Source organism: Homo sapiens, chromosome 1 (genome assembly GCF_000001405.40).
Source record: "Homo sapiens chromosome 1, GRCh38.p14 Primary Assembly".
Lineage (NCBI taxonomy): Eukaryota > Metazoa > Chordata > Mammalia > Primates > Hominidae > Homo > Homo sapiens.
The window spans coordinates 108,556,534-108,579,937 of NC_000001.11; the positions used below are offsets into that span (position 1 = coordinate 108,556,534).

The 23,404-nt window shown below is 40.4% G+C and overlaps 1 protein-coding gene across 1 annotated transcript in view, besides 4 other annotated features; it reads left to right on the forward strand.

Annotated features, from left to right (window-relative positions):
• Window positions 3,228-3,767: a silencer, noted in NCBI's record as "silent region_1135". NCBI's record gives its function as "represses an Ori minimal core promoter by ATAC-STARR-seq in GM12878 lymphoblastoid cells {active_cell/tissue: GM12878}" and the evidence as "EXISTENCE:reporter gene assay evidence [ECO:0000049][PMID:35858748]".
• The window catches only part of EEIG2 (EEIG family member 2), a 79,223-nt gene continuing 59,385 nt past the window's right edge, over window positions 3,567-23,404 (forward strand). Inside the window, exon 1 of the mRNA NM_001010883.3 lies at window positions 3,567-4,032. Coding sequence (NP_001010883.2) covers window positions 3,896-4,032 — 137 coding nt within the window. The 5' untranslated portion in view covers window positions 3,567-3,895. The remainder of the gene's footprint in view (window positions 4,033-23,404) is intronic.
• Window positions 4,158-4,257: an enhancer, noted in NCBI's record as "active region_1423". NCBI's record gives its function as "activates an Ori minimal core promoter by ATAC-STARR-seq in GM12878 lymphoblastoid cells {active_cell/tissue: GM12878}" and the evidence as "EXISTENCE:reporter gene assay evidence [ECO:0000049][PMID:35858748]".
• Window positions 4,721-4,770: an enhancer, noted in NCBI's record as "active region_1424". NCBI's record gives its function as "activates an Ori minimal core promoter by ATAC-STARR-seq in GM12878 lymphoblastoid cells {active_cell/tissue: GM12878}" and the evidence as "EXISTENCE:reporter gene assay evidence [ECO:0000049][PMID:35858748]".
• Window positions 12,292-12,507: a silencer, noted in NCBI's record as "fragment chr1:109111447-109111662 (GRCh37/hg19 assembly coordinates)". NCBI's record gives its function as "represses an EF-1alpha promoter that drives an FKBP-Casp9 reporter gene in an ReSE screen in HepG2 liver carcinoma cells {active_cell/tissue: HepG2}" and the evidence as "EXISTENCE:reporter gene assay evidence [ECO:0000049][PMID:32094911]".

Consider the following 23,404-nt stretch of genomic DNA (forward strand, 5'->3'; position numbering starts at 1 on the left):
AGGGAAGAGGTAGTCTAGAGAACTGCTCAAAGGCTTTTCACTGTTTCATCCTGGAAGTGACGTGTTACTTCTCACATTTTATTGGCTAGACCTCATCACAAGGCCCCACTAACCGCAAGGGAATTGGGAACTGTAAACTCCCATATGCTCAGAAATCAAGGAGGACCGGATACTAGTGAACACTAGTAATGTTTACCACAAAGCATGTGACTTTGAATTCGACAGTCTGCTGACCTCAACCCCTTCAGCCCTTCCACAGATTTCAGAAGCAGTGAAGTGCCTGAATGAAATCCCTTTTTTTTTTTTTTTTTGAAACATCCAGAGTGGTTTCAGCTTCCTATGGTGAACCCTGACTGTATCCTTTGTGTGCTAGTGGCTTTCCATCCCCTTACCTCCAACCATTCTCTACCTTTCAGTGCCCTACTTTGTGCCCCAGGAGTCTGTCCTGTATGAACTGCATGTTCCGAGCCCCTCTACCCTCTGGCCTTGGTTGGTTTTGGATCATGGGAAGCACCACCAAGAGATCAGAAAGTAGGAGGTGAGAGAAATCAGGATATTTATCCCTTCTTCCTTTCAACTTCTCACCAGACTGTGGGTCCCTTACCCTGTCAACTCTGTGAAGAGTCCTTTCATTAAATTTTCCCCATTTAAACACATTGAATATGATATCTGTTTCCTGCCTTGACTATGACTCCTATCAGGGGTTTAATAATCAAACCATGAGTCTAAAAAACAGTAACAGACTGTCTCCTATCTTCCATTTTATAAAGTAGAAGAGCTTTACAAAATGTAAATCTGAATATATCATGCTTCTTCTTTAAAACTTCAATGGCTCTTTGTTAACCCCTGTCACTGTACCCAACTCTAAGTTGCAGCCAGACAGAACTAATTTCAGTTCCCTCTGCAACATGGTCTCTCTTCCTTTGAGCCTCTGCACAGACACTACCTCCTTCCTGGAAACTGCTCCCCACCCATGCTCATTATTCAGGCCTCAGCTTAAAGGCCTGAATTCAGGCTTCACTTACCCTAGAAGGCATTCCATAAACCTACTACTTATCCCTGTTAGCTTTTATAGTCTCCCACAGCAGTCTCCACTCACCATCATACACAGACAGCACTCAGTGTTACATTGTACTGCAACTGCCTGCTTACTTCTCTGTGTCCTCCAGTAGACCGTGAGATCTAAGACAGGGACGGCATTTCAAATCCATAGGACCTATTAAGGTGCTTGGCACCTAATAGACACTCAATAAATATTGGATAGTTCCTGAATGTTATTGAAAAAGATTGAACTGTCCTCCTCTGGTCACCATTCTCTCTCTCTTTTCATTCGCTGACAAAAAAATCAGAAAAACATCAATAAAAATATAATTTTTATTTACCCACATTACTTTGTCACTATCTTACTTTTCACTGTCATCTTTTCACTTACTTTGTCACTTTTCATCTTACTTTGTCACTATCTTTTATGATGACTTCTCTTGCCAAGATTACCAATGACCTCCTAGACCTTCAATTCAGTAGCTTCTTTTCAGTCCAAATCCTCTGGGACTGCTCTGCAGCACTCTCTTGAAATGGTCCTCTGTCCTACATGGATCACAGATTGCTCTCTCTCTTTCTTTCTCTCTCTCTTCTCTCTCTCACACACACATACTCACATACCACACACACACACTTTAGTTGATCTGTTTGCATATCTCTGTTTTTCTCCATTCCTTTATAAGCCCCTATGTCTTATTCATTTGCATCTCTAGTACCCAGCATAGTGCCTGGCACACAATAGAACTTTGTAACTACGAATGTTACATGATTAAAACCGTCTGGGCTTCCAGGCCATCTCTTTCTTCATCTCCTTTTTCTCTTGACTGCTTGTTCTTAGGCACCTTCACGATCTCCTCTTTGCCTACCCTTTAAATATTCTTCAGAGTAACTCATCCTTATCCACCTTTTGGGCTTCAGCCATCAGCGATTACCTCAATTCCCAAATGTATATTTTCAATTGCCAATGCATTTTTATGAGCTAAGGCTGCCTCTCTCTCCCTAGATGTACTGCAAGCAGATCCCATAAAGACTCATTATCTCTTCCATTCCCAACCTGCCCTCCTCTTGCTTTCAATGTTCAGTCAATGAAATTAACATTCATCCAGTGCTCTAAATGACAAATCTCAAAGTCCCCAAATGCATCTCACTGTCTTTGCCCCCTGTCCTGCAGGGTAAGAAGCTTTATCCATTACCAAATCCCCACCCCCGAACCTGCCTCTGAATCTTTTTTTTTTTTTAATTTATTTCTCCTAGAACAACTTACCCCACTTTGTCCCAAATCATTTTCATCCTTTGAAATTCAGAAAACTGATTAACTTCAATTAATTGCTTCTCTGAGTTCTACATAGCTTGGTGCTAGGTTGTGTTTTTTTAATGACCTGTCTAAACATGTCTTCCTCACTAGATTGTAAAATTCTTGAGGGCAGTTATTGGCTTTTGGTTATGGGGTCTAGCCGATGATTGACATTTTAAGCAATTTTTTTATATGAATGAATGAGTAAACGAGTAAACTGAGAAAGAAAATATTTTCAATTAAACCCTTTCAGAATTACTGTGGCAGAATCTGAGTGAAAATGACAATAACTCAGTTTAAAAACATGAACATCACGTAACCAACTTTGTAACATTCATTGTAACAATACATGCATGATTACAGAAGGCAGGTAATTGTTATTCCCCTAGGGAGATTTTTTTTTAAGCCTGCTCTGAAGATTTTGTTTTGTTTTTAAGACAGGGGCTTGTTCTGTTGCCCAGGCTAGAGTGCAGTGGCGCGATCTCCGATCATTGCAAGCTCCGCTTCCCCGGCTCAGGCTAACCTCCCTCCTCAGCCTCCCGAGTAGCTGGGATTACAGCGTAGCCATGCCAGACTGCCTGCAGAATTTGATTTTAAGCATTTCAGTTCTCAGTATAGACAGACAAATTTTTAAAGGGAGGGTATTATTTTAACTGCTTCTTTGCTCTTTTATCTTTTGTCCTGGGTGACAGGAACTAGATAAGCTATACCCCAGAGAAAGCGCCTGCAGCAGTACGGTGCCTGGGCCCTTGATAGTCCCTCAGCACATCATTTTCCTTTTTCCTACCTTATCTTCCTTTTATATTTGAAGGCTCGTGAATTTAGAGTACCTAACGGAAATTTTAGTTTTAGGATTTCAATTTGACCAAAACAACGCTGAGATTTTAATTGCCTCTATTAACCCATGGCTCTCAAACCCAAAGGAAAGAAACCACTGGAGGGGGTGGGGGAGAAAGGAGGCGGTGCAAAAACTGAAAAGAAAGGCGGAGAGGAAGCGGTAGAAGGAAGCTTTCTCTGTCGGGTTTGTCTTTTTTTAACCCCAGAAAGGCGTGACGTGCTAACTGCCGTCGCGGGTTAGAGTCCGCGGCCAAGCCCGCGCCCGCCCACAAAGTCCCCGCCCTCCCTCCGGCTTCCGCCCCGCCGTGCGCTGCAGGCCGCGGCCGCTGGGGGCGCCCCCGACCCCCGAGGCGCTGAGGCGGCGGTTCCTCGAGCCTCGCCTCTCCCGACTCCCAGACGGGCGGCAGCGGCGGCGGAGGCGGCGGCGGCGGCGGCGGCGAGCTGAGCACCAAAAGGGCGCTCACCTCCCCGGGCGAGCTGCAGCACGACCGCTCCCCGCGGGCGGTCGGGGTCCGCGCCGCAGCTGCCGCCGCGTTCCGGCCCAGGCTGCCGCGAGAGGCGGCGGCAGCGGCCCCGGCCGCGGCCGGCCTGCGGCGCCCCCCGGCCGCGCCCCCGCGCACAGCTCGCGGCCCCGGCCATGGGGCTGGGCTGATCCGGGGCTCGGCCAAGCTGAGGCGGCGGCGCCCGGCCGTGCGCCCAGCTTGCAGGCGCCTGGCTCTCACGATGATGAAGAAGAAGAAGTTTAAGTTTAAGGTGGACTTCGAGCTCGAGGAGCTCTCCTCAGTGCCCTTCGTCAATGGGGTCCTCTTCTGCAAGATGCGGCTGCTGGACGGCGGCAGCTTCACCGCCGAGTCCTCCAGGTAACTCGCCTCCCGCGCCGCCTCGCCCCTTTCTGCTTGGCCAGGGCTTGTTGGATGGGCAGCATCTCTCCTTGGCCCATTTGCTCGCCTTTCCCTAGGGACCGCTCTAAAATCAGTCGAATTTATTGATCTGCAAAGTGCTTTGCAAATGGGTTCTTCTCAGCTGGCCTTGGTTCCTGCGCTCCTGACTCCAGATGGTGCCTGGTATCTGCTCTTCCCTCCCAAATCCTCTAGGAATGGGAGCAATGGCCAGAGAGGGAGGATGCTTCTGTTTTCTCTTAAGACATTTCCATATTTGTGAAATGCAAAGTAGAACTTGAGCTGTTAAAAACTAAAATAACCCAAACTGCAGGAGTTCCAAGAGCCCAGCTCTGAACAGAAACCTGTGCTTAGCACAATTCCTTCTCCCTTGTAGATTACAAGGGGACTTGGCCACCCACTCTGAGGCTGGGGTAGGCCTGGCCAGGCTTGACTTGAGTCAAGTGCTCCTGGCAGACGAGACAACGGTCTGTGCCTCATCAGAGAGCGGCGTCTCCAGTTAGGCGCTAATGCTGGATGAATTAGTCTTGAAGTGGCCACTAGTAGGTCTCCTTGTGGGAGGGCTTAGAGCCAGATGGGGAGCCCAGGCCCTGCCCTCATTTTAAAATGAGCCCCTGGGCACTCCCAGAGAGAGGCATTAGCAGGTTACAGAATGAAGCTATTAAATAATAGGTGTGGCATTAATAATAGGTGTGGCAGTGTTTCTTGAGTAATTTCAGAGCTACTCACAGGTTGACAGATGTACCCTAAGGTGCTTTCTTTAAAATATATACATAGAGAGAGAAAACAATTTTTTAAATGAACTTTTGAGTTCCTGAGATCAAGAAGGGTTAAAAGTTAATGTTATTTTGCCCATATATACTGGTCTTAGGCTTTATTTCTGCCCTAAAAATATTCTACTTAAAAAAAATTCCGTCATCCCATTTATAGTATAAAGGAAATAATGTCACTGGATTGTGGAATTGGGGCTAGAAACTTGTCTTTGGGGCAATATTGAAGCCTATGGAAGCCAGAAAATGTCTAGTTGGCTAAACCAAAGGATATATGAAATTAATAGTTTGCCGAAGACAGTTTTTAAAATTAAACTGTGGTGACACATCAGTGGATATTCAGCTAAGTATTTTAAACACCTGTAAGAGAAGAATGTAACCTATTTTGGTGCAAAAAAAATATTGGACCATCTCTTACTTGTTGAAAAGCCTAAGCCGATTCGTGAAGGTCCTGTTGGTGCAGGTGACAGTCTTGCCCTGAGGCCTAGACTGTTTTGCTGCAGGGTGCCACCCCCGACGCCAGGCAGTTAGACTGGCGCTCCTGGGCCAGTGGTGACACCTGGTGGTCAGGGCACTTGTCTACGGGGCTTCCTTCCTACCTCAGTTATGTTTATTTGGCTTACTTCCCACAAGTCACTTATTCTTTCGTTGTAGGCAGTCATTTATTCAGCAAATATGTGTTGGCTTCTAAATATATTATCTTATTTAATTCTCATAGCAAGTCTATAAGGTAGGGGTTCCATTTCGTAGATAAATAAACTGAGGCTCAGAAAGCATAACTAACTTTCCTAAGGTCCCCTCAGCTGGTAAGTGCGATGCCAAGATTCTGATCAGGTCTGTGTAACTTCAAACAGGGTGGTGCCAGATAAAGGAATAAATCGTGTGCCATATATGAAAGTTTCTGAATAGGGAGCTTCCTAATGACTTTAATGAGCAAGGGGTATACTCCGCAAGACTTAGAAATGAAAAAGTTGAGTATCTTGGGTTAAACTCACCCCTTTTTCTTCCAATTAAAATTTGACTTTGATCAATTTGATTTTAAGTAAGATTAGGAATAGTGCTCTGTGTAGCCAAACCAAAAAGCCATATAGTATGGGGGAAATGACTCACAATAAGGAGCCTGTGCCTTTGACATTAGGTAGAGATAGTTGGTGTAAAGCTAAGAGCAAGGATTTGGAATGCGGTGAGTCTAAGCCTAAACCCCAGTTCCACTGTGGTAAACCTGGATGGGTTACTTAGAGTCCCAAAACTTCTGTATGTAAAATAGAAACCATCACTGACATGTGGTGGTGTGAGGATTTAGTGAGATGATGTGCCCAAAACACCTAAACAGTGCCTTAGCACCCAGTTGGCATTTAAAGAGGAGACCAGGAACTTGTCCAAGAAGGTCCATTTGCTTGAGATGTTATATTTGATTCCTTTATCCTAACAACTACAAAATTGTTGGTTTGAGAAAGAGACCTCATTTTACAAGAAAAAAAAAAAAGAAAATCTGAAATATCTAAAGGAAGTGAATTATTTCAAAATCACAGAACTTTTAATTAGTGGGTGCCAGTCAAGGCAGTGCATCTCTAATTGAACGCTAGATTTTAACTTCTAAAAAATTGCTGTATGTGCCCCTTAAAAGTCAGGTGTAGTTAACACTGTAACATTTCTCCTGTAAAAATATGAAATGAATTACATAGAAAAGAGGTAATATAGCAGGCCCAAGACTGCTATTCTTAGAAAGGCCTATGTACAAGGCTGGCCCTTGGCTGGCATCTGGGAGCTTGAATGGTAAATGGTTCCATACATGATACAAAACTTTACGTAAATGATAAGAGTGGCTCACTGTGCCTAGACTGTACGGAGTGGTTTATGCTAAATTCCATCTGGAATTTTGGTTCTTGCTAGGCAGCCTACGTGACCAGCCCTAATACAAATTTTGGGCATTGAGTCTCTAATGAGTTTCCCTGGTAGACAGCACATCACAATTTAATTCTAGAGAAGTTAAGTGTGTGCTGATTCGACTTTGTATCTTTTCATTGTAATAAACCTTAGCCATGAGTAGGACTGTATGCTGAGTCCTGTGAGTCCTAATGAATCACCAAACTTAGGATTGGTCTTGGAGACTCCCTGATGGATGAACCTTTATAAAATAATACTCATCTTGCTACAGAAAAGCCTTAGAGGCACACAGAAAATTGCATATATAGATATAAATAGAGAGACCCAAATATATATAGGTCATATGTATTTGATATATATATTAATATATTTGGCTTTGTACAACAACTAAACATGCAGATCATTTATTCTTGGCCAAGTATTAGTTGAGCATTTACCAGGTTTCTATTAATAGCTCTCCATCTGGGATTGTGAGAAGTACAACAAATATAAGGATCCACAAGGGAATTACTTCTAATGAAATTAGATCATAGATGTATAATTGCTTGACAGTAGAAGACAGTGTGACTTAGTGCCCAATCAATGGATCAGACAATATATTGAGTGTTGTTGAAATTCTAAAGCAAAAGAGTTAATTTACAACTGTAATGGTTACTGACAACCACATTGGCATTTCTGTGGAGCACTCTGGGAGGATGAGTTTGCATTGACAAAGTGAGGATGGGAGGACAGCTTGAGCAAGTCATCAATAGGAGTTGATAATAGATCAGCCTGATTGCAGAGCGTTCATGTTGAATGGAAGCAGAAGATAAGATTAGAGAAAGACTTTGAATACTGTTGTAAAGAGTTTCTTTCTACTCTCTTTCTATAAATGAGAGTTGCTTTCTACTGCTCATAGGGTAAAATTAAACCTAAGATTCTTGAACTGAGTTGTTGTGTGGTTAAAGTGGCGTATCACCTGGCTGACAGGCTGATGCTATCTGTATTCAAGGTTGGGTGGGGGGGAAATTAGAGATGGGGAGACAAATTAGGAGGCTATTAAAATAACCCAGGCAGGAGCTAATGAGAACCTGAACTCCGAGGTGTCTCATGTAAGTGACTGATAAATGATAATCTTATGACAGATGCCTTGACGCCACCACAGAAGTAAAGAAGTCAGGAAAATTATTTGTTTTGTTTAAGGGGAATATTGCATATGGTGGTGGAAGATATAGTGGGTTAAGTTGTATGCTTAGCATGCTACATTTGAGGTGACAGCCTGATGAGTAGTGGGAGGCATTTATGCGGTATGTGGATTTCTTAGATGTTGTCTATTGGAGCCATATAGGCCTGCTTACTAAACTTATTTAGAATTTCCTTACATTGTTTTTACCCTTTTAAAGATTATTAGTGAAAAAAGGCCAGGCATAGTGGCTCATGCCTGTAAATCCCAGCACTTTGGGAGGCCGAGACACGCGGATTGGTTGAGCTCAGGAGTTTGAGACCAGCCTGGGCAACATGGCAAAACCCCATTTCTACAAAAAACATACCAAAAAATTAGCTAGATGTGGTGGTGGGCACCTGTAATGCCAGCTACTCAGGAGGCTGAGGTAGGAGGATCGCTTGAACCCGGGAGGCAGAGGTTGCAGTGAGCTGAGATCACCACCACTGCACTCCAGCCTGGGCAACAGAGTAAGACTCTGTCTCAAAAATAAATAAATAAAAATAAAGATTATTAGTGAAAATTAATTTTAGAAGCCAGTTTTTCTTGGTATTGTTTTCAATGAAGAGATTGGAAAAATATAAAGACTAAAAGGTAATTATTTGTAATAAATATTATTAAAATGGTCAGGGTAAATTGTCAGATTTTTACATGCCATAGTTAATAAAATATTTGGAAAATACATTGTACGATTATGGTGGTCTATTCAACTGAGGCTAAATTGTTGTCTAATAAAATACAGTCATGTATCAGTTAACAATGAGGATCTGTTCTGAGGAGTGCATCCTTAGGCGATTTCATCATTGTGCAAAAGTCATAGAGTGTACTTACACAAACCTAGATGGTATAGCCTACTACGTGCTTAGACTATGTCGTATAGCCTGTTGCTCTGACCACATCGTGTATTTGGTCTGTTGTTGACCAAAATGTCCTCATGCAGTACATGACTGTATTTCTGAAGATGTTTCAAAAGGACAGTATTATTGTATTTAAATCTTTTCACCGTACTTCCTTTGCAAAAGCATTTAAATCACTTTTAAGGTTTATTAAAACTGGCATGGCAGGTTTAATTCTGGCCTACTTAAACAAAGGAATAATAGGAAGAAATTTTTTCTATATCTTTTAGAATTCCCTAGTTTGCCTTATTTTGTTCATCTTTTTTTTTGTGCTGATAGCCAAATAGTTTTCTAAGTTTCACATGAGGCTGTGGCAGAAACACATGTGAATTTGGGGAGTGTCTGGGAAGCTGATGAGCACATCTATGTATTGGACCTTTTACTCTAAACAAGCGGAAAGGATTTCTTTCTTTTGGCCAGAGTACATCCTTCTGTTTTCAAGATTTTAGTTCACTGCACATTGTGTATTTCTTTTTAGTAAACATTTCTTTATTGAAAAAGTAATACAGATTCATATGGACAACTTAGAAAATAGAAAGGCAGAAAGAAAGGAACAAAAATTGCCCATAAATGAACCACCCAGGGATAATCACTATTATAAATATTTTAGTATAGAAATTAGGAGCCTTTATTGATCTGTACACATACATGTATGACCACACTCCCCCACACAACTATCACATACCCTTTTTAAGCCAAAATGAGATTATACTATACTTAGTATGGTTTTTTACTTCATGTATCTTTTCATATCATTAAATATTCAATTACAAGATTATTTTAATGGTGCATATTATTCTATTGTATGAGTTTCCATGACTTATTGAACCAAGTCACTTTTGAAAGGCTTTCTCCTTTCCTTTCTTTTTTGTTAATAGTTTTATAAATAAACTACAATAAACATCCTTATAACCAAGCTTGGTATACATCCATTATTATTTATTTAGGATTAACACTTAGAAATGGAATTATAGAGTCACAGGGCATGCAGATTTTTAAGGGTTTTGATATATATTACCAACTTGCCCTTCAGTGCATTAAATTGATTTTTTAAGATTAGTAATCACTAATAAGCAGCAAATTATCAAAAGTTACTAGTAGTAGAAAGTACTGTCTGACCATATGGCACAGAATTATTTATACACTAGATCCAGCAACCCCACTTCTGGGTATACATTCGAAGGAATTGAAATCAGTATGTTGAAGAGAATTCTGTACTCTTATTGTCTTTGCAGCATTATTTACAATAGCCAAGTTATTGAAACAACCTAAGTGTCTGTAAACAGATGAATGGATAAAGAAGATGTGGTATATACAATGGAAATTATTCGGCCTTTTAAAAAAAAAAAAGGAAATCCTGTCATTTGTGACAACATGGATGAACCTGGAGGACTTTTGTTTAAAATGAAATAAGCCAGGCACAGAAAGGCAAATACTGCATCATCTCACATATATGTGGGATATAAAAAAGGTGAACTCATAGTGGGTGAGGGCACGGAGAGATGGGGAACTGTTGGTCATAGGGCACAAAGTTTCAATTAGGTGGCATGGATATGTTCAGATCTGTTGTACAGAATGCTGACTATAGTTAATAATAATGTATTATACTTGAAAATTGCTAAGAGAATAGATCATAAGTGTTCTCCAACAGCAAAAAAAATAAATATGTGAGTTGATGGCTATGTTAATTGGCTTGGTTTAGCAATTTCACAATATATACACATATCAAAACATTACATAGTACACAGTAAGTATATACAATTTTTGTCAACTATATTTTAATATAGTTAAGTAATTAAAATAAAAAATTTTTTAATTAAAAAATTCCTTATACCCTGACCAGAAATGGAGTCATCAATTCACATTATTATAATACCTGTAATAATAGTAGCTGACATTTATTTGAGCACTTTCCCAGTGCGTCAGGAACTTTTCTAAGCCTTTACATTTAATCTTCAAGATATTCCCGTGAGGAAGGTGCTATTATTACGTCATTACCATTATTAGTGCCCTTGCCATTATTGCTGCTATTACTCTCATTTTATACCTGGGGAAACAGAAGCACAAAGAGATGCTAAAAGTTACTCAGCTAGTAAGTGGTAGAGCTAGGAGGCATTCTAGCTCCAAGGACCACTGTTAATCACTAAATTCTACTGCCTTTCAGGCTTTGTGTTGTATGCTTTCTCATTTTTATGTTTTATAAAAATGGTAGGTAAATATATGTAGTATAACTTTTTCTGAATGTCAGTTTCAGAAAACTGGTTCCAATATGTGACATCACTAAACAGGTTACAAGACCTGGCCCCTTTAGATTTTCCCTGAGGCAATTGTATATGAAAGATAAGTAAAATGCAGCGAGGCATTTTTATGGGCTCATGCCTGTAATCCCAGCACTTTGGAAGACTGAAGCAGGAGGGTGGCTTGAGCCCAGAAATTCAAGAACAGCCTGGGCAACATAGTGAGACCCTGTCTTTGAAGAAAATTTAAAAATTAGCTGGGTTTCGTGGCATGCACCTGTGTTCCCAGCTACTCAGGGAGACTGAGGTGGGAGAATCTCTTGAGCTTGGGAGATTGAAGCTGCAATGAGCCATGATTACACCACTGCACTCCAGCATGGGTGATGGAGCAGGACTCTGTCTCAAAAAAAAAGAAAAGAAAACAAAAGAAAAGAAAAATGGTACTCATGCCACTTTTTTTTTCAAGATGTGGCTTTGTACAACTAAGTTCACAAAATTTAGTCACATTATTGGATAGTCATATCTTATAAAAATAGTATTAATGCCATTTTACACCAGTAAGTTAATATTCACCACTGTATCACTGAGCCTTACATAGCCAGCATTTTGTAAATATTGAAAGAAAGCAAATATTGGGAGAAAAGATCTGTTGTAGTTTTGCTAAAGATGACACACATACAGAGATCACTAAATTAAATATATGGGGAAGTAGATCATGTTTTATCTACACAGCTTGTAAAAAATTATGTTCGGTTTGGGGTGCAGGCCTTTGAGGGTTATCAAATGGAGGTCCAAGGAAGATATTCGGATTCTTAAGAATCTTGAATTATGCTAATAACAGGAGACTGGGGTTAGTCTTGAGAGAAGATAATGGTCTTCAAATACTAAAAAATTGACTTGTATATATGTATATTTTACATTCCTAATTTTATTTGATTCTTACAAAACCCCTTTAATAGAAGTAGGAAACCATTGTCACCTGTTTTTGATTTAGAATGGATGTCAGGTGCTATAACAAGGTATTTTTAAAAAATAACTGGCTTAACCAAGATAGAAGTTTACTTCTCTTTCATATGAAGTCCAACCTAGTGTGGTAGCTGTGCTCTGTCCAGTTGTCAGGGGCCTGGACTCTTTTTGTCTTATTGCTCTCAGGGTATTGTTCTCATCCACAGGGACTGACTTGGCTCACCCCACATCCGAATTCCAGCCACTGGGAAGGAGGAGAGGGGAAGGGAAGGTCCCTTGTGCTCACAGTCCATTGACCAGAACATCAGCACCATGCCACATCCAGCCCCAAGGTTGAGAAATTTAGTTTTTGCTGGGTGCCTGTATGCCTAACGAAACACTGAATTAGAATAAAGGGAGGAGAGGACAGATATCAGGATAATTAGCCTCTGTCATACCACTCTTTTAGACATGAGAAAGTTGATCCTTAGAAAATAATTTGTTCAAAGTCACATATCAACTAATGAAAGATATTTGAAAAATTGTGCCATAAAGAAGGAATAGACTATGCTGGGTGCAGCTGAGGACAGAACTAGGACCAGTGGGGAGATGTTAAAGAAGGCATGTTTCTATTCAGTATAACATTAAAACAAATAAGTTCTAACATTTAGGAGAGTAAAATAGTGAGTAGACTACCTCAGTACTACTAACAGTTGAATGACCTCATCCATTTGTCAGGAATGTTATTCCTCGTTAGGAGGATGGGTCATCTAGATGATGATGCTGATTATTCTTTTTAGAGGCAGTTACTCTGTTGCCCAGGCTAGACAGGCTTGAGTGCAGTGGCACGATGATAGCTCATTGCAGCCTTGAATTCCTGTGCTCAAGCAATCCTCTCTCCTCAGCCTCCCAAGTAGCTGGGGCTACAGGTGTGTGCCACATGAACATGCTAAATTTTCTATTTTTGTAGAGATGTGGTCTTGCTATGTTGCCCAGGCTGGTCTCAAATTCCTGGCCTCAAGCAATCCTGCCTCAGCCGCCTAAACTGCTGGGATTACAGGTGTGAGTCACTGTACCTAGCCTCACCTAAATGATTCTTAAGGCCCTTTCTAACTCCAAAATTCTATGACTAAGCTTTCAATTTTGTCTTTTAATACTACTCTTCCTAAATCTTTCACTATAGCTGGGACTGGACAGCTTATATCAGCCAATTATGTGTGCATTTGTGTCTCTTTGATATCCTCTCCTTCACCCTTCTTTTAGTCAGTCCACATTTCAGCCATTCTTTAAGATCTAAATCAGTTATCTTCTCAGTTTTATACCCATACGTGTCCAACCTACAGTCCACCCACGGCTCCTAACATTACTACACATACTGTATCCTTAATTAATGTTGGTTATTTGTTGAATGAATGAAAACTTTTCTCACCATCCCACTGTGATTTCACTTGTCACTCAATTCTTACAGTTCTTGTTGCTACCAGTCATTTCACACCAAATTTACTCTTTTAATTACCTTCATGAAAAATTACCATACAGTGTACAATTTGCAGTAATAAATATAAACTCAAGAATAGGTAGAAAGGAGAAAGTGTTTAACTGGGATTTTTTGTGGGGGTGAGGTCAGGGGAAGTGTCATGGAAGAGAATTCCTTAGCAGGGTTTTTTTAAAAGTCTAGCTGGAGGAGAAAACAGAATGATAAAGGGAACAGAAGACACAGTGACATGAAGCAGCATGTTGTGTTGAGGGCACAGTGGGTAGAGTGGTGTATAACTGCTGCCACATAGAGGAAGGGAGAGGAAGTGGTCATTTCAAGGAGCCTAGACTTGGTTCTGTGCTGTAGTCTAGGGAGCCAAAAGCAGGGAGTGATATGCAAAGTTAGTGGTTTGGTTTAGGGTTGGAATTGAAGAGAATTCTCATCTGACACATGACCTTAGCTTTCTCAGTAGCAACCAAGAAAGGTAGAATAAGGGATGTGAGGATAATGATGAAAGATCAGAAAAGCTTCCACAAGGAATGGGAGAGGAAGCTGACCAAAGACAAGTCCAAAAGGCCCAACTGAAATTTAAAAACATGAATTTTAATGATGGCAGTATACGTGTTCATGCAGTTTTCTCCAGCAGTGCTTGTATGTCAGGGATAGGAGGCAGTGGGTAGTAGAATTGATTCAGATTTGGAAGTTTATGGGTATGTGGAAAGGCAGTTGGGAGTACTGGTGAGAAAGGAATCTAAAGAATCAGTAATGGGGTCCAGATTTCATATGGAGCAAAACCAGGCCAGGAAGATAAATAAGGAAAATATGGAACAGTTGGAGGATGAAGGCCTTAGTGATGTTAAAGGAAGATATGTGTGGAAGGAAAGATGCTGTGCAGAATTAGTTGGTGGGGAGGGGCTGTACTCAGAGTGGGATATTAACGCTTGGGATTACTTCAGTAGAGCAGGCCACAGTTGGCAGGGTATGGATGTTGCTGAGATGGTGTGAAGAATGGCATAGGGCAAAGAACCGTGAGTCTAGGGCGTGTTGTTTGCATGATATTACGATAGCCAGAATGATTGCAGGTGTTGGAGTGAAGAGAGAAAAATTGCAAAACAGCTACTTCACTGTCACATCAACCTGGAGGGGAAGAGTGTGACATAAGCCAGACATCACGTGCCTCAAGCTTTTAAACCCTAAGCTTGAAAGTAGTAGAGTTACAGCCTGCAAGTGGCAATGAGAGTGCCGGCACTGCCTCTGGACCTGTGGAAGATGGGGGTGGAGAATAAACATCACCTCTGCTGTAGGGGTACAATACAGCTAGTGTCCTCGTGAGATAGCCAGGTTTCGGTTAGACAATAAGAGGAGTGTTCTATGAAGAGACTAAGAGTATGAGGGTTTGTTTAATCCTAGAACAGAGGTTTCAGGTGGTTATCGTGGAATGAGTTGGGAGAGAGAGGAGCAACAGAATGAGTTGAAGTGAGGAAAAACAGAACAGTAGGACAGAGAAGATTGAGGATTTAGGGAGAATAGGTGACCAAGACTTTCATCTTAGATTTTTCCTACAGATTACAGGGATGAAAGGTATAATTTGAACTGACTGGCCTCAAAATTTTCAGTGTGGATATGAAATAATTTAGTGTCAAGTGATACAAGACAGTTTCTCTGGCTGCTACTTCTTGGAGTGTAAAAATGAGGTTGCGTTAGGTCCTGCCGCCCACTTCCTAGGAGGTCATGCCTTCTTTTATTGTCCATCCCTCCTTTTATTGTCCGTCCTTCCTCCTTACTGTCTCACACCCCTCTGCTGACAAACTTAATCTTCATCCTCACCAGTCTTTTAACTATTATTTCAGAGGATGAACTATTCTTCCTTCTGTTCCTTGCCATTTCTCTGTATCTTTGATCCTGTCCTTGTTTACCTTCCTTCTCCTTCTCTATACAATTCTGATACAAACTTCATGAGAAAAATAACTACATTTCCTGTCTCTTAAGCATTCCTCCTCTGCCCTCAATCCTGCACTCTGACTGCTGCCCCAGCACTCAACTAAAACTGTTTTTGCTAATACCATCAGTCATCCCTGATTGCCATGTCTAATCAGTATTTTCTCATTTGTACCTTTGTACTGTGTTTGAAACATTCTGAAAATTACCTATTTCTTGAAACTTGACTATCTTGACTTCCATGAATCCTATTCTTCACATCTCTAATTCCTTCTCTGAATTGCTTGAAGGCACTTCTTCTGCCTGCCCTTTTTTTATAGACTTTATTTTCAGAGCAAAATTGAATGGAAAATACGCAGAGTTTCCATATACCCACTGCTTCCCACTCACATAGCCTCCCCCACTAGCAACATCCTGCCACACGGTCGTACATTTTTGCCAGTAGAGAACCTACATTGACACATCATTATCACCCAAAGTTCACAGCTTACATTAGGGTTTACTCTTGGTGTTGTACATTCTAGGGGGTCGGCAAGTATCTAATAACATGTGTTCACCAATCTAGTATCATACAGAATAGTTTCACTGCCCTAAAAATCTTGTGTGTTCCACCTTTTCATTCGTCTTTCTCCTCTAATCCTTGATTTATTTGATTTATTTTATTTTATTTTATTTCTTGAGACGGAGTCTCGCCCTGTCGCCCAGGCTGGAGTGCAATGGTGCGATCTCGGCTCACTGCAACCTCCACCTCCCAGGTTCAAGCAATTCTCCTGCCTCAGCTGCCCAAGTAGCTGGGATTACAGGAGCGCGCCACCACACCCGGCTAATTTTTTTTGTATCTTTAGTACAGATGGGCTTTCACCATGGTTTTGCCTTTTCCAGAATGTCCTATAGTTGGAAACATGCAGTATGTAACTTTTTCATATTGGCTTCTTTCACTTAGTAATATGCATTTAAGGTTCCTCTTCCTTCATGGCCTCGTAATTCATTTCTTTTTAGCACTGAATAATAGTAATTATCTGGATATACTATGGTTTACCCATTCATCTACATATCTTAGTTGCTTCCAAGTTTTGGCAATTATGAATAAAGTTGCCATACATTTGTGTGTGCATGTTTCTGTGTAGACATAAGCTTTCACCTCATTTGGTTAAACACTGAGGAGCATGACTGCTGGATCATATCAGAAGAGTATTGCCCACCCATCTTTAAAGGCTTCCACAGGATTTGTGAGGCAATGAGGGCAATTATTAGGATTCTACTTTGCAAATAAATAAAGATCAGAAAAGGCAAATGATTTACCCAACATTATACTAGTAGTAAGTGATAGAGCAAGTCTAAAATTCAAGATTCCTGCCGATTCATCCAAGACTTTTTCATTATCTTATGTGACCTCTTTATTACGTAACAGAGAAATAGAGTTTAGATTTCTCACCTGGAGGTCCAAGCCAAGAACTGCTACACAACCCTTGAAAAACTACAGTACCTCATATAGCCTTGGCTGGGAAAGGGAATAGGCTGGAAAGGTAACTACAGTCTTTGTTAGGGCCTTTAGTGATGAGGATATTAGAGTCTCCAATAAATCCAAGAATTTGTTTGTATTTACAATGTATTAGGCCAAGAGTGGAAAGGCAACTCATAGAATGGGAGAAAATATTTGCAAGTCATATATTTCATAAGAGATTGATATCAAGAATAAGTAAAGAACTCCTACAACTCAACAACAAAAACACCAAACAACCCAGTAAAAACTGGACAAAGGACTTGAATAGACATTTCTCCAAAGAAGTTATACAAATGGCCAGAAGCACAAGAAAAGGTATACAGCATCACTTATCATTAGGGAAATGCAAATCAAAACCACAGTGAGGTATCACCTCTTACTCATTAGGATGGCAACTATCAAAAACAAAAAACAAAAACAAAAAAATAACAAGTGTTGGCAATGATGTGGAGAAATTAGAACCCTTTTGCATTGTTGGGAATGTAAAATGGGGCAGCCCCTATGGAAAACAGTATGGTGGTCCCTCAAAAAACTTTAAACCAGCAATTCTTCTGGATGTATACCCAAAGAATTAAAAGCAGGGACTTAAATATTTGGACACCCATGTTCATAGCAGCATTATTCTAAATAACTGAAAGGTAGAAGAAAACTAAGTGTCCATCACAGGATGAATGGATAAACAAAGTGTGGTATATACATACAGTGGAATATTATTCAGCCTTAAAAAATGAAGGAAATGCCAATACATGCTACAACATGGGTGAACATTGAGGACATTATGCTAAATAAGCCAATCACAAAAAAAAAAGACAAATACTTTATGATTCTGCTTAAATGAGGTACCAAAAGTAGTCAGAGTCATAGAGATAGAAAGTAGAATGGTGGTTGCCAGGGCCTGTGGTAGGGAAAAATGAAGAGTTTAATGGATATAGAGTTTTGGTTTTGTGAGATAAAAAGAGTTCTGGACATTGGACACTACTGAACTGTATACTTAAAAATGGTTAAGATGGGCCAGGCGTGGTGGCTCACGCCTGTAATCCCAGCACTTTGGGAGGCCAAGGCAGGCAGATCGCCTGAGATCAGGAGTTCAAGACCAGCCTGGCCAACATGGTGAAACCCCGTGTTTACTAAAAATACAGACATTAGCTGGGCGTGGTGGCAGGTGCCTGTAATCCCAGCTACTCGGAAGGCTGAGGAGGAGAATCACTTGAACCCAGGAGGCGGAGGTTGCAGTGAGCTGAGATCGTGCCATTGCACTCCAGCCTGGATGCCAAGAGCTAGACTTCGTCTCAAAGAAAAGGGGGGGTTAGATGGTCAATTTTATGAGTATTTTACCACAATTTTTTAAATGAATAAATATTTCATCCCCTCCAAATGTTTATTAGGCCAAACCAATTATTTGTACATTAGTATATTCAACTAATATAGACTCCATTAAAAAAAAGTTTTCTCTTATTTAAACTTCATAATTTAGGAACATTTCATTATGAATTTTTCTGCAGTAGCAATGATGAGTTCCTGCAATCATTCTATCAACTAATGCGATTTAGTAGAATATACACATATGGGCTTAAACAGTAATTGATTTTTATTTAACAGTTTTAGAAAAATCCCTCTGTCATATGATAACTGTTTAACATCAGAGGAATTGTCAGACTGTTTTTTAAAGAGGCTACACTGAAAAATGCTTTCCTGATGAAGATTCAGTGTTGCTATAGCACTCTTTATTAAAGTGGTTTTTCACGATAAGCACAAGTCAAAATGTTATTAGAGTCAAAATGTCTGACATTCTATCATCCCATTTTTGCCCTTCCTGGTTAAATCCTACTAATCCTTTAAAGCTTATAGATGCCAACTCTTCTAAGGAGTCTTCCCGAATTTCTCAGCTAAAATTAATAACTCCCTTCCTTCTGGGAACTTTCAGGGATTGGTAGGACTTAAACAGAAAAGGGAAACAGTTACCATATGACTCAGCAATTCCACTCCTAGGTGGAATGAAATTCTGTATTCAAGAGAAAAGAAAATATAATGTCACACAAAAATGTGTACATGAATTTTCTTAGCACCATTATTTATAACAGCCAAAAAGTTGAAACAACCCCAGTGTCCATCAGTTGATGAAAGGATAAATGAAACCTGATGTATCCATAGCATGGAATATTACTCAGCAATAAGATGAAATGAAGTACTGCTAAATGCAACAACATGGATGAAGCTTGAAAACATCATGCTCAGTAAAGAAGCTAGTCACAAAAAAACACATTCTATGATTCAATTGATATAAAACATCTGGAATAAGCAAAATCTACAGAGACAGAAAGTAGATTAGTGGTTGGCTAGGGCTGAGGGATTGGAGAGAAATGGGCAGTGACTGCTAGTGGATATGAGGTGTCTTTTGGAGGTGATGAAAATGTTCTAAAATTGACTGGCGATAGTTTCACAAACAATATACTAAAAGCTATGGATTTGTACACTTAAAATGAGATATGATATGTGAATGATATGATATGTGAATTATATCTCAGTAAAGCAGGCTTTTCCATTTTAATGTTATTTGTTTTGTGTGTGTGTGAGATACAGGTGTCACTGTTTGCCCAGGCTGTTCTCAAACTCCCGGGTTCAAGCAATCCGCTCACCTCAGCCTCCCAAGTAGCTGGGACCACAGGCACACACCACTGTGCCTGGCTCCTAATAAAGCTTTCTTAAAAAAGCATTTTCTGACAAAATTCCCCTAAACTAATATAATTCCTGGACAAATTCATTTTTTAATTTAGCAAATACCTGCCTACGGTAATATCTTGTTTTATCTATTTCACTTTATTGTGCTTTGCAGATACTGCATTTTTTTTATTATACTTTAAGTTTTAGGGTACATGTGCACATTGTGCAGGTTAGTTACATATGTATACATGTGCCATGCTGGTGCGCTGCACCCACTAACTCGTCATCTAGCATTAGGTATATCTCCCAATGCTATCCCTCCCCCCTCCCCCCACCCCACCACAGTCCCCAGAGTGTGATATTCCCCTTCCTGTGTCCATGTGATCTCATTGTTCAATTCCCACCTATGAGTGAGAATATGCGGTGTTTGGTTTTTTGTTCTTGCAATAGTTTACTGAGAATGATGGTTTCCAATTTCATCCATGTCCCTACAAAGGACATGAACTCATCATTTTTTATGGCTGCATAGTATTCCATGGTGTATATGTGCCACATTTTCTTAATCCAGTCTATCATTGTTGGACATTTGCGTTGGTTCCAAGTCTTTGCTATTGTGAATAATGCCGCAATAAACATACGTGTGCATGTGTCTTTATAGCAGCATGATTTATAGTCATTTGGGTATATACCCAGTAATGGGATGGCTGGGTCAAATGGTATTTCTAGTTATAGATCCCTGAAGAATCGCCACACTGACTTCCACAATGGTTGAACTAGTTTACAGTCCCACCAACAGTGTAAGAGTGTTCCTATTTCTCCACATCCTCTCCAGCACCTGTTGTTTCCTGACTTTTTAATGACTGCCATTCTAACTGGTGTGAGATGATATCTCATAGTGGTTTTGATTTGCATTTCTCTGATGGCCAGTGATGATGAGCATTTTTTCATGTATTTTTTGGCTGCATAAATGTCTTCTTTTGAGAAGTGTCTGTTCATGTCCTTCGCCCACTTTTTGATGGGGTTGTTTGTTTTTTTCTTGTAAATTTGTTGGAGTTCATTGTAGATTCTGGATATTAGCCCTTTGTCAGATGAGTAGGTTGCGAAAATTTTCTCCCATGTTGTAGGTTGCCTGTTCACTCTGATGGTAGTTTCTTTTGCTGTGCAGAAGCTCTTTAGTTTAATTAGATCCCATTTGTCAATTTTGGCTTTTGTTGCCATTGCTTTTGGTGTTTTGGACATGAAGTCCTTGCCCACGCCTATGTCCTGAATGGTAATGCCTAGGTTTTCTTCTAGGGTTTTTATGGTTTTTAGGTCTAACGTTTAAATCTTTAATCCATCTTGAATTGATTTTTGTATAAGGTGTAAGGAAGGGATCCAGTTTCAGCTTTCTACATATGGCTAGCCAGTTTTCCCAGCACCATTTATTAAATAGGGAATCCTTTCCCCATTGCTTGTTTTTCTCAGGTTTGTCAAAGATCAGATAGTTGTAGGTATGCGGCGTTATTTCTGAGGGCTCTGTTCTGTTCCATTGATCTATATCTCTGTTTTGGTACCAGTACCATGCTGTTTTGGTTACTGTAGCCTTGTAGTATAGTTTGAAGTCAGGTAGTATGATGCCTCCAGTTTTGTTCTTTTGGCTTAGGATTGACTTGGCGATGCGGGCTCTTTTTTGGTTCCATATGAACTTTAAAGTAGTTTTTTCCAATTCTGTGAAGAAAGTCATTGGTAGCTTGATGGGGATGGCATTGAATCAGTAAATTACCTTGGGCAGTATGGCCTTTTTCACGATATTGATTCTTCCTACCCATGAGCATGGAATGTTCTTCCGTTTGTTTGTATCCTCTTTTATTTCCTTGAGCAGTGGTTTGTAGTTCTCCTTGAAGAGGTCCTTCACATCCCTTGTAAGTTGGATTCCTAGGTATTTTATTCCCTTTGAAGCAATTGTGAATGGGAGTTCACTCATGATTTGGCTCTCTGTTTGTCTGTTGTTGGTGTATAAGAATGCTTGTGATTTTTGTACATTGATTTTGTATCCTGAGACTTTGCTGAAGTTGCTTATCAGCTTAAGGAGATTTTGGGCTGAGACGATGGGGTTTTCTAGATAAACAATCATGTCGTCTGCAAACAGGGACAATTTGACTTCCTCTTTTCCTAATTGAATACCCTTTATTTCCTTCTCCTGCCTGATTGCCCTGGCCAGAACTTTCAACACTATGTTGAATAGGAGCGGTGAGAGAGGGCATCCCTGTCTTGTGCCAGTTTTCAAAGGGAATGCTTCCAGTTTTTGCCCATTCAGTATGATATTGGCTGTGGGTTTGTCATAGATAGCTCTTATTATTTTGAAATACGTCCCATCAATACCTAATTTATTGAGAGTTTTTAGCATGAAGGGTTGTTGAATTTTGTCAAAGGCTTTTTCTGCATCTATTGAGATAATCATGTGGTTTTTGTCTTTGGCTCTGTTTATATGCTGGATTACATTTATTGATTTGCGTATATTGACCCAGCCTTGCATCCCAGATTCACCGAAGTTGAAATGAAGGAAAAAATGTTAAGGGCAGCCAGAGAGAAAGGTCGGGTTACCCACAAAGGGAAGCCCATCAGACTAACAGCGGATCTCTCGGCAGAAACCCTACAAGCCAGAAGAGAGTGGGGGCCAATATTCAACATTCTTAAAGAAAAGAATTTTCAACCCAGAATTTCATATCCAGCCAAACTAAGCTACATAAGTGAAGGAGAAATAAAATACTTTACAGACAAGCAAATGCTGAGAGATTTTGTCACCACCAGGCCTGCCCTAAAAGAGCTCCTGAAGGAAGCGCTAAACATGGAAAGGAACAACCGGTACCAGCCGCTGCAAAATCATGCCAAAATGTAAAGACCATCGAGACTAGGAAGAAACTGCATCAACTAACGAGCAAAATCACCAGCTAACATCATAATGACAGGATCAAATTCACACATAACAATATTAACTTTAAATGTAAATGGACTAAATTCTCCAATTAAAAGACACAGACTGGCAAGTTGGATAAAAAGTCAAGACCCATCAGTGTGCTGTATTCAGGAAACCCATCTCACGTGCAGAGACACACATAGGCTCAAAATAAAAGGATGGAGGAAGATCTACCAAGCAAATGGAAAACAAAAAAAGGCAGTGGTTGCAATCCTAGTCTCTGATAAAACAGACTTTAAACCAACAAAGATCAAAAGAGACAAAGAAGGCCATTACATAATGGTAAACGGATCAATTCAACAAGAGGAGCTAACTATCCTAAATATATATGCACCCAATACAGGAGCACCCAGATTCATAAAGCAAGTCCTGAGTGACCTACAAAGAGACTTAGACTCCCACACATTAATAATGGGAGACTTTAACACCCCACTGTCAGCATTAGACAGATCAACGAGACAGAAAGTCAACAAGGATACCCAGGAATTGAACTCAGCTCTGCACCAAGCGGACCTAATAGACATCTACAGAACTCTCTACCCCAAATCAACAGAATATACATTTTTTTCAGCACCACACCACACTGCATTTTTTTTAATTGAAGATTTGTGGCACCTCTACACCAAGCAAGTCTGTCAGTGCTGTTTTTCCTTGTTTTTTTGGTGTGTGTGTGTGTGTGTGTGTGTGTGTGTGTGTGAGAGAGAGAGAGAGAGAGAGAGAAAGAAACCCACTCTCTTATCACCCAGGCTGCAGTGCGATGATGCATTCTTGGTTCACTGCAGCCTTGAACTCCTAGGCTCAAGCAGTTATCCTGAGTAGCTGAGACTACAGGTGGATGCCACCACCCCCAGATAATTTTTA